At 40.4% G+C, this 15,480-nt stretch overlaps 1 annotated feature.

The window, feature by feature from the left end:
* Nucleotides 1,275-1,570: an enhancer, noted in NCBI's record as "tiled region #6215; HepG2 Activating non-DNase unmatched - State 4:PromP, and K562 Activating DNase unmatched - State 9:DNaseU". NCBI's record gives its function as "activates a minimal TATA promoter and a strong SV40 promoter by Sharpr-MPRA in HepG2 and K562 cells {active_cell/tissue: HepG2 | K562}" and the evidence as "EXISTENCE:reporter gene assay evidence [ECO:0000049][PMID:27701403]".

The following is a 15,480-nucleotide window of genomic DNA, read 5'->3' as shown; positions in this document are numbered from 1 at the left end:
TCTTTTCATTTTGCATGGGGAGACTGAGGTATTTGGAGATTATGCTTAACTATTTTAATTACTGAAATAATTAGGAAAGAACGTATAGTTTCCTGATACCTGCTTGCTTTATCTTAGGGCAGAGTATCTAAATATTCCATTACAACTGTTGGAAAGATTTTTAAGTTACAGGTGGTGAGATTTCTAATTGACACAGAACTGTGAGTGGCTTTATAACTTGGCTGTGAAATGGTATCAGATGCTAGAGGGAAATAAATTGTCATGCCCCAGTATTTCAAGCAACAGCATCTTTCAACTATGTAAATCCACAAAATTTCTTTCAAACTAATGAAAGCTTTATAATGCTAGCTCTGTGCCATAGTTAATGCCGACAGGACAGCCCTGTTGCATATTAAGACCAGCTGTGGCCATGTAGCAGGCTTCAGTTTACCAAATTACAGTTTTTTTGGTTAAGTAATTCTTACCCCACAGCTGATTTCACACTCGGCTCTTAGTATATGGGTACTGAAGTGTGTGGAAACACACTTTGAATGGTGGCCTCCATCCTCTTATTCCGTTCTCTCCTAACTCTTGTGTCCTTCTAAGGATTGTTACTTTAGGAAATTAAAATAATTACAAATTAAAACAAATACCCATATTAGCACCACTCAGTAATAGTTAACATTTTGTAATGTTTGTTTTCAGTCTTAAATGTCTCTATTGACAAATACCTTTGGTTTCCTTCTCCACACCTTGTCCTCAAAGCCAACTACCATTGTGACTTGGATGTGTTTCCTTCTAGTCCATGTTGAAATGCAGTTGATTCTTTTATTCACAGTAAAGTCACCACAAACACTGGATTCATGAATGCTGAACCATTGCTCCTAGGGGAAATACAGCACTGGGTTCCTGCAAGCCTCTGGTCACATTTTCATCAATCAATATGTAACCTTAATTTATGTATGTTTCTATTTAAAGACACCTTATGTGGTATATATTGTTGGCTAGATGTGGTAACTCACACCTATAATCCCAGCACTTTGGGAGGCTGAGGCAAGAGGATTGCTTGAGCCCAGGAGTCTGAGACCAGCCTGGCAATATAGTGAGATCCCATCTCTATAAAAAATAAAAAATTAGCCGTGCATGGTGGCATGTGCTTGTAATCCTAGCTACCCAGGAGGCTGAGGTGGGAGAATCGTTCGAGCCTGGGAGGTTGAGACTGCAGTGAAGTATGATGGTGCCACTGCACTCCAGCCTGGGTGACAGAGTGAGACCCTCTCTCTCTCACACACACACGTGTGTGTGTGTGTGTGCACGCGTGCGTAGTTGGTTCACTGACACTGAACTCAGCCAACAGCACTATGACTCATGCCTGAATGGAGCTTATCTAACATGCATATTTTCTCCATAAGACACAGCTTCCTGCGCTTGGGAAGCTAACAGCACTTCGGCACTATGCTTGGGGAACCCTTTAAACAGCAAAGTCACCAGCAAAAAGCACAAAAATGGGGAAAACGTGGCATTAAATAGACTAGGAAAAGGACTCTTGTTAACAGCATGAGAGCTGAAACAAAAAGGCAGAACATCACCTTGTTCAGCCTCAGCTGGGAACCTGAATGGCAGCTCAGATTTTTCGCTGCCCTAAGCATGTCAGCGAATGACCATGACAGTGCTATGGAGTGTTGATTCTAGGGTCACAAACAAATTTTGGTGAGAAAATGAATTCACAGATACATAATCCGAGACTCAGGAAGGTCAGCTGTACTTTTTTTTTTTTTTTTGAGACGGTGTCTCACTCTCGCCCAGGCTGGAGTGCAGTGGCGCGATCTCGGCTCACTGCAAGCTCAGTCTCCCGGGTTCACGCCATTCTCCCGCCTCAGCCTCCCGAGCAGCTGGGACCACAGGCGCCCGCCACTGCGCCCGGCTAATGTTTTGTATTTTTTAGTAGAGACGGGGTTCACCATGATCTTGGTCTCCTGACCTCGTGATCTGCCCGCCTCGGCCTCCCAAAGTGCTGGGATTACAGGCGTGAGCCACTGCGCCCCGCCGGTCAGCTGTACCTTTTATCCTCCCAGCTGCTTCTGCTGTGCCCCTTACCCCTATTCCTTTTCTTTTTTATTTTTCTTTTTGAGATGGAATCTTGCTCTGTCACCCAGGCTGGAGTGCAGTGGTGCCATCTCGCTCATTGCAACCTCCGCCTCCCAGGTTCAAGCAATTTTCCTGCCTCAGCCTCCCGAGTAGCTGGGATTACAGGCGTGCGCCACCACGCCCGGCCAATTTTTGTATTTTTAGTAGAGACGGGGTTTCACCCTGTTGGTCAGGCTGGTCTCGAAATCCTGACCTCAGGTGATCCGCCTGCCATGGCCTCCCAAAGTGTTGGGATTACAGGCGCGAGCCACTGCACCCGGCCGCCTTTTCTAGATGCCATAAATTACCTTTTTTTTTGTTTTTAAAACCCCGTGAGTAATCTTGTCTTTTAAATTGGTAACCACACCTACTTTGGGATTGTTTGATATTTTCTAGTGATGCGCCTATGAGTTTTGTTCCCTTGCTACGTGTGCACAATTTTTAAAAAATTAATAGATTTATTTATTTTTATTTATTTATTTATTTATTTTGGAGACAGAGTCTCGCTCTGCCACCCAGGCTGGAGTGCAGTGGTGTGATCTCGGCTCACTGCAACTTCTGCCTCTCGGCTTCAAGCGATTCTTCTGCCTCAGCCTCCCAAGTAGCTGGGATTACAGGCGTGTGCACAGTTATTATTTCTTCTTTGGGGGTGCTTACCAGACATTAAAAATGCAGCTACTCTTGTGTCCTTTCTCCCCTCTACCCACTTACCATTCCCCATTTGTCAGGAAGGGCTCCACAGATGAGAACGGCTAAGTATATCCCCTGACCGCCATCTGGCCCGGGCTCACCCTTCAGAAGGTGTCAGTCCCTGTATCCCTTTTATTTGGAAAGGCTCTTTGACATTCTTTTACTCTAAGGCATTCTTTTACTTGCCAAGGAAAAGGGTGACCGGCTCTGAGAAGAACGTAGTTTGCTTCTTGGAAGCTCTTATTTATGTACATTTACTGCCTTCACACTCATTATTTGGTGACATGGTTGTTGTTGTTTTTTTTCTATTTCTTTTTTAACTTCTGAAAACACACACACACACACACACACGGCTTTTTGTTGTTTGTTGTTTTTGCTTTACACATAATTTGACTAAGGCTGTTCTCCTTCCTCCTCTTTGTTAGTATCACAATTATTTCTACTTTCTGTGTCTCGTTTGGTTCTTCTAAAAAACACATAATTTTAAACTTACCAAAAGAGCTGCAAGAAAATTTCAGGAAACTTCTGTATACCCTTGGGCCAGCTTTCCTAATTGTTAATATTTGTCCTGTTTGCTTTCTCATTCTCTCTGTCAACTACTTAAGAATAAACTACAGACATTATAGGTTTTTTTTTTTTACCACTAAATATTTCAGTTGTATTTCTGAAGAATAGGACATTGTCTTACATAACCACAGTACAATTATCAAGATCAGAAAATTTAACCCTGATAAAATGCCATTATCTAATCCACAATCCATATTCAAATCTATCAACTGTCCTAATAACATTCTTTTTAGCTGTTGCCTCCTGGTGCAATCTAGGATCATGCATTAGCTATCATGTAGCCTCTCTTTCCATTTTCTTTGCTTTGATTTTCTTCTTTCCTAAAGTAAGCTATATTGAGGTGTAGTTTACATACAGTAAAATTTACCCCTTTTGAATGTATAGTTCCATCAGTTTTCACAAATGCATACAATCATTTAGCCAGCACCATAATCAAGATATAGACCATTTCCTTTACCACAAACAGTTCATTTGTGCTCCTTTTAGTCAATGCCCTTTCCCATAAATTCAATCCCTGGTGATCTCAGATTTAATTTCTCTCCCTATGGTTTTTCCTTTTCTAGAGTGGCATATACATGGAATCATACAGTATGTAACATTTTGTGTCTGGCTTTTTGAGTAGTATTCCATTGCCTGAACATACCCCACATTGTTTATTCATTCACTGGTTCAAATTGGTTTTAAAAATAGATCCATACCTTATGGTGTGAGATATGGATCAAGCAAGCAAGCAAGATTAATGTTTTTTTGTTTTGGTTTTATTTTTTCCATATGAATATATAGTCATCCAGTACATTTTGTTATATATAAAAGATAACAACCAATTTTTCAGCATTGAATGACCTCTGCAACTTTGTTGAAAACAATCAGTTGGCCCTATATGTGTGTCTATTTCTTGAAACTCTATTCTGGTCCACTGATTCGTATGTCTATTCTTGGTCCAGTACCAAATTGTCTTGATTACATAGGCAGTCTTGAAATCAGGTAGCATAAGTTCTCCAAATTTATTCTTCTTTATCAAAGTTGATTTTGGCCAATTAGCTTTTTGATTCTCCATATAAATTTTATAATTGGCTTGTTATTGCCTGAAGAAAAATGTCTGGTGGGATTGTGATCTTGATAGTATCTTAGTCCATTCAGGCTGCTGTAACAAACTACCATCAACTGAGTGGCTTGCAAACAACAGAATTTTATTTCTCACAGTTCTAGGGGCTGGAGAGTCCAAGACCAAGGCTTGGGCAGATTCAATGTCTGGTAAGGGCCTGCTTCCTAGCAGACAGCTGTCGTCTTGTTCTAACCTCACATGGTGGACAAACCAAAGGAGCTCTCTGGGGCCTCTTTTTATAAGGGTACTAACCCCATTCATGAGGGCTCTCTCTTCATCACCTAATCACCTCCCAAAGGCCCCACCTCCTAAAATACCATCACCTTAGGGGTTAGGATTTCAAGGTATAAATTTGGGGAGGGAGGAGACACAAACATTTAGACTGAGGTAGATTGCATGAAATCTATAAATGAATTGGGAAAGAATTGACATCTTAACTGACTCTTGATCTGTGAATGCAGTGTGTTTTTTAATTTATTTAGTTCTTTGTAATTTATCTGATAAATGTCTTAAAGTGTTCAGCCAACAAATCTTAAATCAAATATTGTTAGCTCTATAAGTATTTCATGATTTTGATGTTATATAATAACATCGAAAGTATACATGGCACTTTTAGAAAATTTCAGTTTCCAATTGAACATTTTCTAGTCTATAGAAATAAGTTGGATTTTATACATTGACCATTAAACTTAGTTCTTGTAGTTTTTTGGCACATTCTTTTGAATATTTCATGCATATAATCACATTGTCTGTGATAAAGATAATTTTATTTTTTCATTCCCGTTGGTATGCCCTTTATAAATTTTTCTTGCCTTATTGCACTGGTTAAAAACAGCAACAACTCGGGAGGCTGGGGCAGGAGAATCACTTGAACCCGGGAGGCAGAGGCTGCAGTGAGCCAAGATCACCCCACTGCACTTCAGCCTGGACAACAGAGCAAGACTCCATCTCAAAAAAACAAACAAAAAACCAAAAAAACAGCAACACACTGTTTAATAGCAGTAGTAAGAGAAGGCTTCCTTGCCTCACTGCTAATCTTAGGAGTAAAGCATTCAATCTTTCACATTAAGTATGATATCAGCTCAGTGTTTTCATGATGCCTTTCATCAGATCGAGGAAGTTATAATTTGCTGAGAAGGGATGTTAAATGTTGCCAGTTGCTTTTTCTGCACTATTGAAATGATAGTATGACTTTTCCTCTTTAATCTGTTGATATGGTGAAAATTACATTGATTGATTTTTGAGTTTTGAACCAACCTTGCAACTAAGTGGGACAAATCCCACCTAGTTATGATATATTATCATTTTTATATATTACTGGTTTCAAATTCTTCACATTTTATTAAGGATTTTTGTATTTATGTTCATAATGGATTTGTCTCCAGTTTTCCGTTTTTTTGTAATGTCTGTTTTTGGTTTTGGTTTCAGAATAATGCTGGCCTCATAAAGTAAGTTGAGAACTGTTTCTTCCAATTCTATTTTCTGGAAGAGCTTCTATAGAACTGGTATTATTTCTTTTCTAAATGTTGATAGGTTTGCCAGTGAAGGCTTATTTGCTTGAAGTTTTCTTTGTAGAAAGGTTTTTTTCCCCATGAATTAAATTTATTTAATGGATTTAGGATTCTTCAGATTATCTAATATTCTTGGATGAACTTTAGTAATATGTGGCTTTCAAAGAATTTGTTCATCTCATCTAAGCTATCAAATTTATTGGCATAAAGCTTATTGGAATATTTTCTTCTTATTATTTTTAATATTAGTAGAATCTATAGTAATGTTCCCCACTTCCATTCCTGATACTGGAAATTTGTATCTTCTCTCTTATGAGCCTTGGTAAAGAGTTATCAATTTTATTATGTCACATACAGATTTGTTTGTCAAATAACATGTCCATAACCTTTAAAAACTGTTTCTTTTTTAGCCGCATTTATTGTGTATAGTAAAAAAGAATTTTTTTTTTATTTGACAGGCTATGTTTTTTGAGACTTTGTACACATGGACAGGTATTCTTAAATTTGTGTAATCTTTAGGCTAATATATACAAATTAGCACCCAGAAATATGTTTTCTTTATACTTAGCTCTTCTCTTTCCTCAACATTATGTAAAACATGGGGGGAAACCCTTTCCAAATAAAATTAATATGAGACTCCTTTTATAATGAACAGCTCTATAAATCAGATTACATTTAGGTCACATCTAAGAAAGTTCCAGTGAAGGAGAGTAAATAATTGTGTCTGCTTAACAGCCCTGTGGTTGAGGCTTTTGGTGTCAACTTCAGAACATTATCAATCCTGGTATCATGATTTCCCACTTAGACATCTTTCTGAGTATTGCATTTGCTTGGAAAGGAACCCTGTGCTCTTTTTGGCAGCATATATACTAAAATTGGAATGATACAGAGAAGATTAGAAAGGAATCCTGTCTTGCAAAAAAAGCAATAACTGTCTATTGTGCACATTAAATTTTAAACAAGTGCTCAATCTGAAACCAAAATTGGTTGGAGAAGAGGAGCACAATGGATTAGAGATATGGTAGAACTCTTATTTTGTGGAATAATTCATAGATGCTCCTCTCCTGGTAAGGACTGTGGCAAACTTACTACTATACAATCACCACCAGGTCTCAAAATTGTAGATAGACAAATAAATAGCTCATTGTTTAAAAGAAAATAAAAATGCTTAATTTTAATATTGCCTACATTAAAGATATTACTGACTTACAATATGGCAAATCTTATAGAAGGGAGAAGCTGTATTTGAGATTTTTATCTTGGTTTTATACATGTATTAAGAAACCTGTAATCCTAGCACTTTGGGAGGCTGACATGGGAGTATCGCTTGAGGCCAGGAGTTCGAGACTAGCCTGGGCAATATAGGGAGATCTCGTCTCTACAAAAAATTAAAAAGAAATGATTAGCCGAGCATGGTGGCACATGCCTGTAGTCCCAGCTACTCAGGAGGCTGAGGCGGGAGGATTGCTTGTGCCTGGGAGGTTAGAGGTTGCAGTGCAGAGAGCTGTGATCACACCACTGCACTCCAGCCTGGGCAACAGAGCCAGACCATCTCTGTCTCTCTCTCTCTCTCTTTCTCTCTCTCTCTCTCTATATATATATATACACACACACACATACATATATATACATGCATATGTACACATGTATTATTTAATTTATGTAAGACTCATTAAGCATAAACTACTTTGAGGCATAGGGTATTTTGTTTATTTAATTTAGCAGACCTTTATAAGCATGTATTTTGTGTCAGGCATGATTTTAAGAGCTATTCCTACACTAATTCATTCAGTCCTCGTAATATCTACCCTCTGAGGTAGGTACTGTTACTTTCTCAGATGACAGAGGAGAGGAGGAGGAGACAGAGGCACAGAGAAGTTATGTGTCTTGACGGAGGTCCCTGAGTGGGGAGCTGTTGGAGCTGGATTTGAAGTGACACTGGCTGGCTCCAGAGTCCTTGTTGTCAATCCTGATAACTTTTGTCACCTCATGTGTACACAAGATGACTTATAAAAATCAAGGGATTGTTCTTAGGGTGCATGGTGAAGATTTTTTCCCTCCCGTGTAATGCTAAAACCCATGCTTTAGTTCTAACCAATTTGGCCTTTTTTTTCCCCACCTATTTCTCTCAATTTATGTAACACATGTATGGGGCGCTATCCAGTGTTACATTATTTATACTTAAATATTTAATGAAGGACGTGCAGTTCATCTTGCAGCCATAAATACTTCACTCTGTCTTGACATGTAGGGTTAGTTCTTTCCACTGGTTTGTGAGCTCCCTAAGGACAATCATTCTATCTTGTATTTCTCTTTGTGTCTCCACAGGGCCTGGCTGGCTTTGAATAGAATTCCTGGATACCTGCTTATTGATGAGTGTTGCAAGGCAGCTGTTCAGTCCTTTCCCACTGAGACACACATGCCAGACACTGTTCATAAAAGTGATATTCATTCATGTGTTGGGGGCAAGTCATTTACTAGCTGTAATTTCACCCAAATATACATTTATATAGTCATGGTTAAAAATTGACAGATACTGTAAGACAGTACATTCAACTGGAAGCACAGTACTTTTTCTATCTTTAATGTAGAAATACAGTTTTCAAAAATGAGCATTTGGATAATTTAGTACAGATTTCTCCCCTTAGTGCACTATTTGTAGATTTCATATTGCATATAATAAATCTGGGATTATGTCTTATTTATGTCCTATCACCTAGCATGGTGCATTTCACATAGTAGGTTCTCAATAAATGCCAGTAGAATTTTTAAAACCTTGGTAAAGCATTAGTCCTCTTACAAAGGGAGTGACAGTAGGAGAAATTTTTCATCAAAGATCTTTGGAACTACTGAGTCTGAGTTTTTGCTTTATAGGACATGGAACAAGATATTGTTGCATGCACACTGATGACTTATTTTTCACCTCGTCCTCGTTCTTGAGTAACTTCTTCCCCCACAAAATCATGACTGAGACCAAAAAAAATGCAAGGCATAGCAATAATTTATGAATTTCTTTCTGCACCAGAAAGACATAAGACAAGTGTTTTTGTGAGATAAGGAACATTTCAGCAACACTGTGAGGCATGAATTAAGGTATAGGCAACTGGTCCCACCAGGTGAATGATTATCTGCAGTTGCCCGAGTGAGCTGTCTCAATGGCTGATGAAGCTGCTGACCTTGACATATTTATCATCATTACTCCAGGGGGCAGACACCAATATCTCTATTCTTGTGCATACATAGCCAGAAAAAGAGGCACAGTCCAGTGGAAAAGAATGTATGTGTATAGATGTGTGGTGTTTGTGTGTCTGTGTGTAAGAGAGACAGAGAGTGAGAGAGAGAGAAAGACAGAGTATTTGGTTCTTACATCTTCCTTCGTCTTTTAACTTTTTTCTGTTTTTACTGAAAAGGGAAAATGGCATTAGGCTCTCCTCTAAAAGATCAGATTCACAATAGCTCCTCAGTCTGCAAGACTTCAAGGGACATAGTTTTTCCTTATAAGGGAGCCGAGTAAGGCTGCAAAAAATAGATGATCTGTGTTATCATCTCTCCGGCTAAGATTGCCGGATTGCCATCTGATTAGAGGAGGCCAGAGTGAGGGATGTGACCCTGGATAATGCTGGTGCTGTGTCCTCCCCTCACCCCAGGATGGTGCTGATTACTTTCTGGCCTGGAGTTTGAAATCTGTTCCACTGTCCCATGCCTCTGGCCTGGCTTTCCGTGTTTTGCTGGCATTCTTAGGTGTCCCTTGGCTTGTGGGTACATCACCCTGATCTCTGCCTTCATCTTCATTTGGTGTCCTCCTGGTGGGACTATCTGTGCCTAAATTTCCCCTTTTTATAAGGACACCAGTCACATTAGATTAGGGGCCCACCTCATTCCAATATGACCTCATCTTAACGAATTGTATCCACAACAACACTATTTCCAAATAAGACCGCATTCTAAGCTACTGGGGGCTAAGACTTCAACATACAAATTGTAGGGGAGACACAATTTAACACACAGCAGCATCCAATCCATTGATGGTGATTCACTTGGGAGCTTTCTCTTCATTATGAATTTAACAAGAAAGAGGCAGGAAAACGCAGAGGAAATGGTGGAACAGTCAATCTTTTCTGACAAAGGATCTGGATGTGGAAACACGAGGCCTGGGGAATGGAGCGTAGGCCTCATACTCGTTCATCAGAACAGTCACCTACTGTCAGAGGACCCTGAGGGTATCTGAGTTGAAATATGACGTATGGGTCAAAGAGCGCCTAAAGCTCCAAAGCTTTTTGCAGACTCCCAGTGGCATGTGAATTTTAGCTGCCCAGGCAAAATTACTTGAAATCTTTGGCCTTATGCCTTTAGAAATCTGAAGGTGCTCACCTAAGAGGCCTGCCTTCTCTCCTGTGTTCTCGAATGTGGAGGGGTACTGCTTGGGAAGGAGCAGCTCCTTTGTAAGCGTCCGGTCTTCTCAGCCACTTGACTTCCTAATAGTACCGTGTTTTAAAAATAAATTTCCTATTTCCTTAACAAATATCAAAATAGAATGAAATTCAGCCAAGACTGGGTGCCGGGAGCTTTGTTAGACCCTTGTATGTCTAATCTCAGTTCTCACAGAAGCCAACAGTATGCCTATTTCCATTTCCAGATGAAGCCGCAAGGCTCGGCGTTCAGCGACTTGCCCCAGGGGCTCAGAGGAGGTGAGCGACAGCCCAATCCTATGCACTTTGTATTTGGGTGTCAATTTTTGAAGGACGCAGATTGCTTTTTAAAAAATCTTAAATATCACATTGAGATAAGAATTCATTTTACCCTGTTGAGCCTGTCATGTAAAATGAGGAGTGTGGATTTAGATGATCTCTATGTGCCTGTGCAGCCCGAAAATGCATCTACAATTATGATTTTTATTTTCCTGTTTTGGATGTAAGAAGGAGAGGATGTAGGCTGTCCATCTGCTTTTTTTTTTCTTTTACGATGGAATTTTTAACATCGCATCATGGAATTTCCTGGATCTCAACCAAGTATGCACATCCCCGTCTCCCAGAAGCTCATCTATTTTTGACTGCAATAGAATTAGAATCTGGTCATTTGGGGGGCAATCCCTTTGGAGGGGTATTTTTATTTTCTCTTCTTCAAAAATATATTTCATTTCTCTTCTTCAAATATCCTTGTGCTCCTATTGCTTCCACAGATGTTCAGAGCTGGCCACACACAGCCTCATTTGCACTTGGCTGACAGGCAGTAGCCTATTGCACTGGCCAGAGAAACACTACACCTTTCTTTGCTGAGACTGGATTCTGCTCTGGGCACCTCTCCTGTGGAGCAAAGGGGGCCAACCAACAGGCTTTGACTGATTTATTTCAGGAAGACTCGCTTGTTGATGGATATGGTAATCATGCCAGTAAAATTCAATTACTGTATCCCTGAGGACCGTAGCAAGCAATAATAAATTAGGGAACATGAGCTCTGGAGTATCCGAACTGAAATTATAATGGGAATATTGAAAAACAAACAAACAAAAATCCAAAGCATTCATTTATAGATGCTGCAGTTTTCCCCACCAAAAATTAGTTCAATAATAGATGCTGCAGTTTTCCCCACCAAAAATTAGTTCATCAACTAACCCTGTGTTCTTGTCATAAAAGAATATGCCTTAAACACAGCCAAGAACATTTTATCTTAATTACTTAGTATTGTTGTAGCTCCCAGAGCACTCGTGCCTTCTGGGTAATGGTACACAGGGAGGAAGCAGCCGTCTGGAAGGGCCTCCCAAGGCCACCGCACTAATCCATGCTGGGCTCACACACACTCGCTGCTCATGGCCTTGGGTTTCAGGTTGCCATCCAGGGCTGAGGTTTGAATGGAAGTTGTCATCTCAGAAGGTCTGCCTAGCACTGAACCACTGACATCCATCAGGAATGTCAAGTCGTGCATTGTCTCATTAACTTGAGCCAGCTTTCCTGCTATCAGATCCTTTTTCATTCCTGGCCTTTCCACCCTGTCTTTCTTCCTTTGTTTAACAGTTCATGGCTTCTCCTGTTTGTGCCTTCAGCCCGTGAGTTGTGCATGCGTCTCCTCCATGCCATAAGTAGAATTTGCAGAATTAGCTGACATTTCTTGTCCAACATAAATTTTAAGTGCTTGAAGGGATAAAGAACAATCAGGCAGTCTTGTTATATCTGCAGACTCTATGGTCTATCCCCAGATAATTTTGAAGTTACAATGGTTTGTCATGAATGTCTTCCTTCACTTTATCTTCTTTCTCACCTGGATCCCAACATTCAAGTAGATAACAGAACTGATAACCAGGGGAGATATGAAGAAGATGACAGAGGACCTAAAAATATTTTCTGAATCAGTAGCAGTAATTTTCCACCAGTAATAAATATCTTTTGGGGTATCCACTAAGACCAAACCTGTTTCTTGGAAAATTGCTACCCTTCTACCCACAAGTACATGAAGGACTGTAAGCCTGGAACATACTTAGTTTACGTGGCCAGATGGAAATGGCCAAATCCTGACCCAGGCTGGGCACCATAGAATTTTTCTCCCAGAAGCTGAAACATTATCCAGTTAATTGGTTTGCTAGAGTTTGGAGATGGCAGGGCTCTGGAGTTTGGGGCCATTATTTTTAGCTATATGAACAGTGCCATGTGCACAGGAAAGGGAGAGGGTGGTTTTGTAATGAAGCAGAAGTGTCAAGAGAAGCAGAGAACAGAGATGGTCCAGACATGGGCAAGTCACTGCCTTGGTTCTGATGACTGTCACATTCTGCTTCTAGAATGTTTGGGAGGCCGGCTGCACTCCATTGCCTACCCTTAGGTTTTCCCAGTAAATTCTCTTTTTTTGCTTTGGTTGGTCTCAATAGGAAGTTTTGCTATTTGTTTGTTTTCTTTTTTTTTTAACTGGCAAAAGAGACTTGAGATGTTATAATACCATCTAACACTTTCTTGGACTTGGATGGCATTTGAGGACAGGGGCAGGAAGGGCCCTGGCATGATACTTTGAACAGTAGTAGTGTAGTCGTGGTAGTAGGTCCCACCAGCTCCGTGTTAAATGGGTGGTTAGAGTAGGCCTGGCAGTGAGAGTGGCCTTGCTGGAGAGGGTTACTGTCCTTTGGTAGAGGAACATCCCCCATTTCACCCTCTGTCCCTGCTCCCATCCTGGTGTACACTCTCTCTGTAAGCCCTTGTCCCCAGCACTGCACCTCAGGCCTCAAACCTTCATTACCTCTTCACTATTTTGCCTTTTAGCCAATGCCTCTACCATGCCCATCTTCCTAGGACCTTAAACATTTTTCTAAGATGTTCACAAATGATGAAAAATTATAAATTATCTCATTTGGGCAAGGGAACTGACAATTCATGGCAGCATACTTTAGGACTTGCCAAGATTAGGGGTGATTCTTTCCATTACAATGAGATGGAAGCTTCAGGACATCAAGAGACAAAAAGCAGCTAGAGGAGCTTACTGTCCCTTTATTTCCCATGAAACACAATGCTGCGCGGTGCTCATATTGTGCCCACACTGCTTCCTGTGCTTCGCCAAAGCGGGGATTTCATCCAGCATCCCAGCTGTTCTGGAGCCTGTGCTGGGGTGGCTGGCTGGGAACTGAGGACACAGAAGGGTGTTGCTTTCACGCCACAGTCGTGCTTGGGCCCTCTGCACAGGCAATCAGTGACTCCCTCAGGGCAGAAGGCTGTGGGAATGTCCAGTCTGACTCTGTCCTCATTTGGCCCATGTCCACTATCAGAAAATGAACGAGCAAATACAACCTCCAAATAAAGGGGGACTTGCGGAGGAGATTGTAGTTCCCACTCCCTTGATGTTAGCTATCTTCTGGAAAAAGGGCATGAGACTTAGTGTAACTTGTTTAAGAACCATGGTCACAATTTATTAGCCTCTTCTGTTCTCCTTAGAGGGGAAAAATCGTATATAAGGTGTTGAGGTCAACTATTACACAAACCCAAGTATGCCCAGCCCCGTACTAGGCATCTTGCAGCACCTTATTTAGATGTCATAGTGGTCCGACAGGAAGACATTATTACTACTAGTTTTCCAGCAAGTTATGTAACATGCTGAAATAATCACCCGCCTGGTAAGTAATTGACATGGAATGTGGACCTGAGTTTAGCTGATGCCTAAAACTATGCTAATTCCACTGCAGTGTAATTCGGTATTTCTTAGAGCTTGTCTGATAGGGCACTCAGGGTGAGGTGAGCACTTGTTAAAAATCTGATCCTGGGTCGTGTTGCAGATCTGACATCAGAATCTTTTAGAAATGGGTACAAGAATTTGCTCCAGGTGAATCTCATCAGGCAAGTTAGATAAATGCTGCTGTAAAGCCTTTTTTTAAATAAAAAAACAAAAAAAAACCACAGTAATTCTTAGTGAGGTGTGCACTAAGAAAGTCTTTTTTCTTTTTCATTAACTTTTTATTTTGGAATAACTTTAGATTTGCACATAAGTTGCAAAAATAATACAATTTCCATATACTTCCTCTCACCTAATTTCCCCTAATGTTAACCTCTTAAAAAACCATGGTACAGATGTCACAACATCAACAAATTACTATTAACTTCACTCCAGACTTTATTCAGCTTCCACCTATATTTACCCTAATGCCCATTTACTGTCCCAGGATCCAATCCAGGGTACCAGAGTGTGTTTAGCAGAGAGACTTTTGGTAGTATATATGTTCTGAACTAAAGCTAATCGTGAGCATATCTACGGCACAGCAATCGCACTCCTGTATGTATTTGTAGCAAATGGCATGTATGAAAATGTTTACGGCAGCAGCCTCCAATGCAGGTAAAACCTAGACACAGCCCATCCATAGCAGAATAGATAAATAAAATGTATATTCATGCAATGGAATATTGTCTAGAGACGAGAAGGAATAAACTATTGCTACTTATAATAATGAGGATGAATCTTGCAAACACGATGTCGTGGACATGATGCAATGCAAGAAAGAGCACACACTCTAGGCTTCCACTTACAAAAAATTAAGACAGGCAAAACCAAACTATGCTATTTGAAGTCAGAGTACCTTTGAGAGGGGTGGTGACTGAGACGGGCAAGAGATTTTGGAGTGCCGGAATGTTCTATTTCTTGAGCTGGATGCTGGTGCCATAGGTGCGTTCACTTTGTGAAAATTCATCAAACTGTGCACTTCAATATTTGTGCAGTTTTCTGTATATATTTTATTCTTCTTTAAAATTCATTAAACACAGACTGAAGTGTTTCTATGGAAAAGCAGCACGGTGGGTTTGGGACAGCAGCTTTCATTTATATCTGAAAACAAATTAGCTTCATGCAGCAAATTGGATACAACTGACTGTGCAGTCACCCTGCACTAGGAAACAAGCATGGCTTCCTGGCTAATTAACAGACACCGGGGCATCCTCCTCCACTCAGAAATGTTCATTGCCATGTGCTTTTAGGGTAGGGTGTGATTTTTACAATAAAGAGGTTTGCCAGCTGTTGGTGTGACATGCATCCTTCCTCATG

This window comes from Homo sapiens, chromosome 7 (assembly GCF_000001405.40).
Source record: "Homo sapiens chromosome 7, GRCh38.p14 Primary Assembly".
NCBI classification, from domain to species: Eukaryota; Metazoa; Chordata; class Mammalia; order Primates; family Hominidae; genus Homo; species Homo sapiens.
The sequence above is the reverse complement of the archived record's forward strand: the minus strand, read 5'-3'. Positions and strand labels throughout refer to the sequence as shown.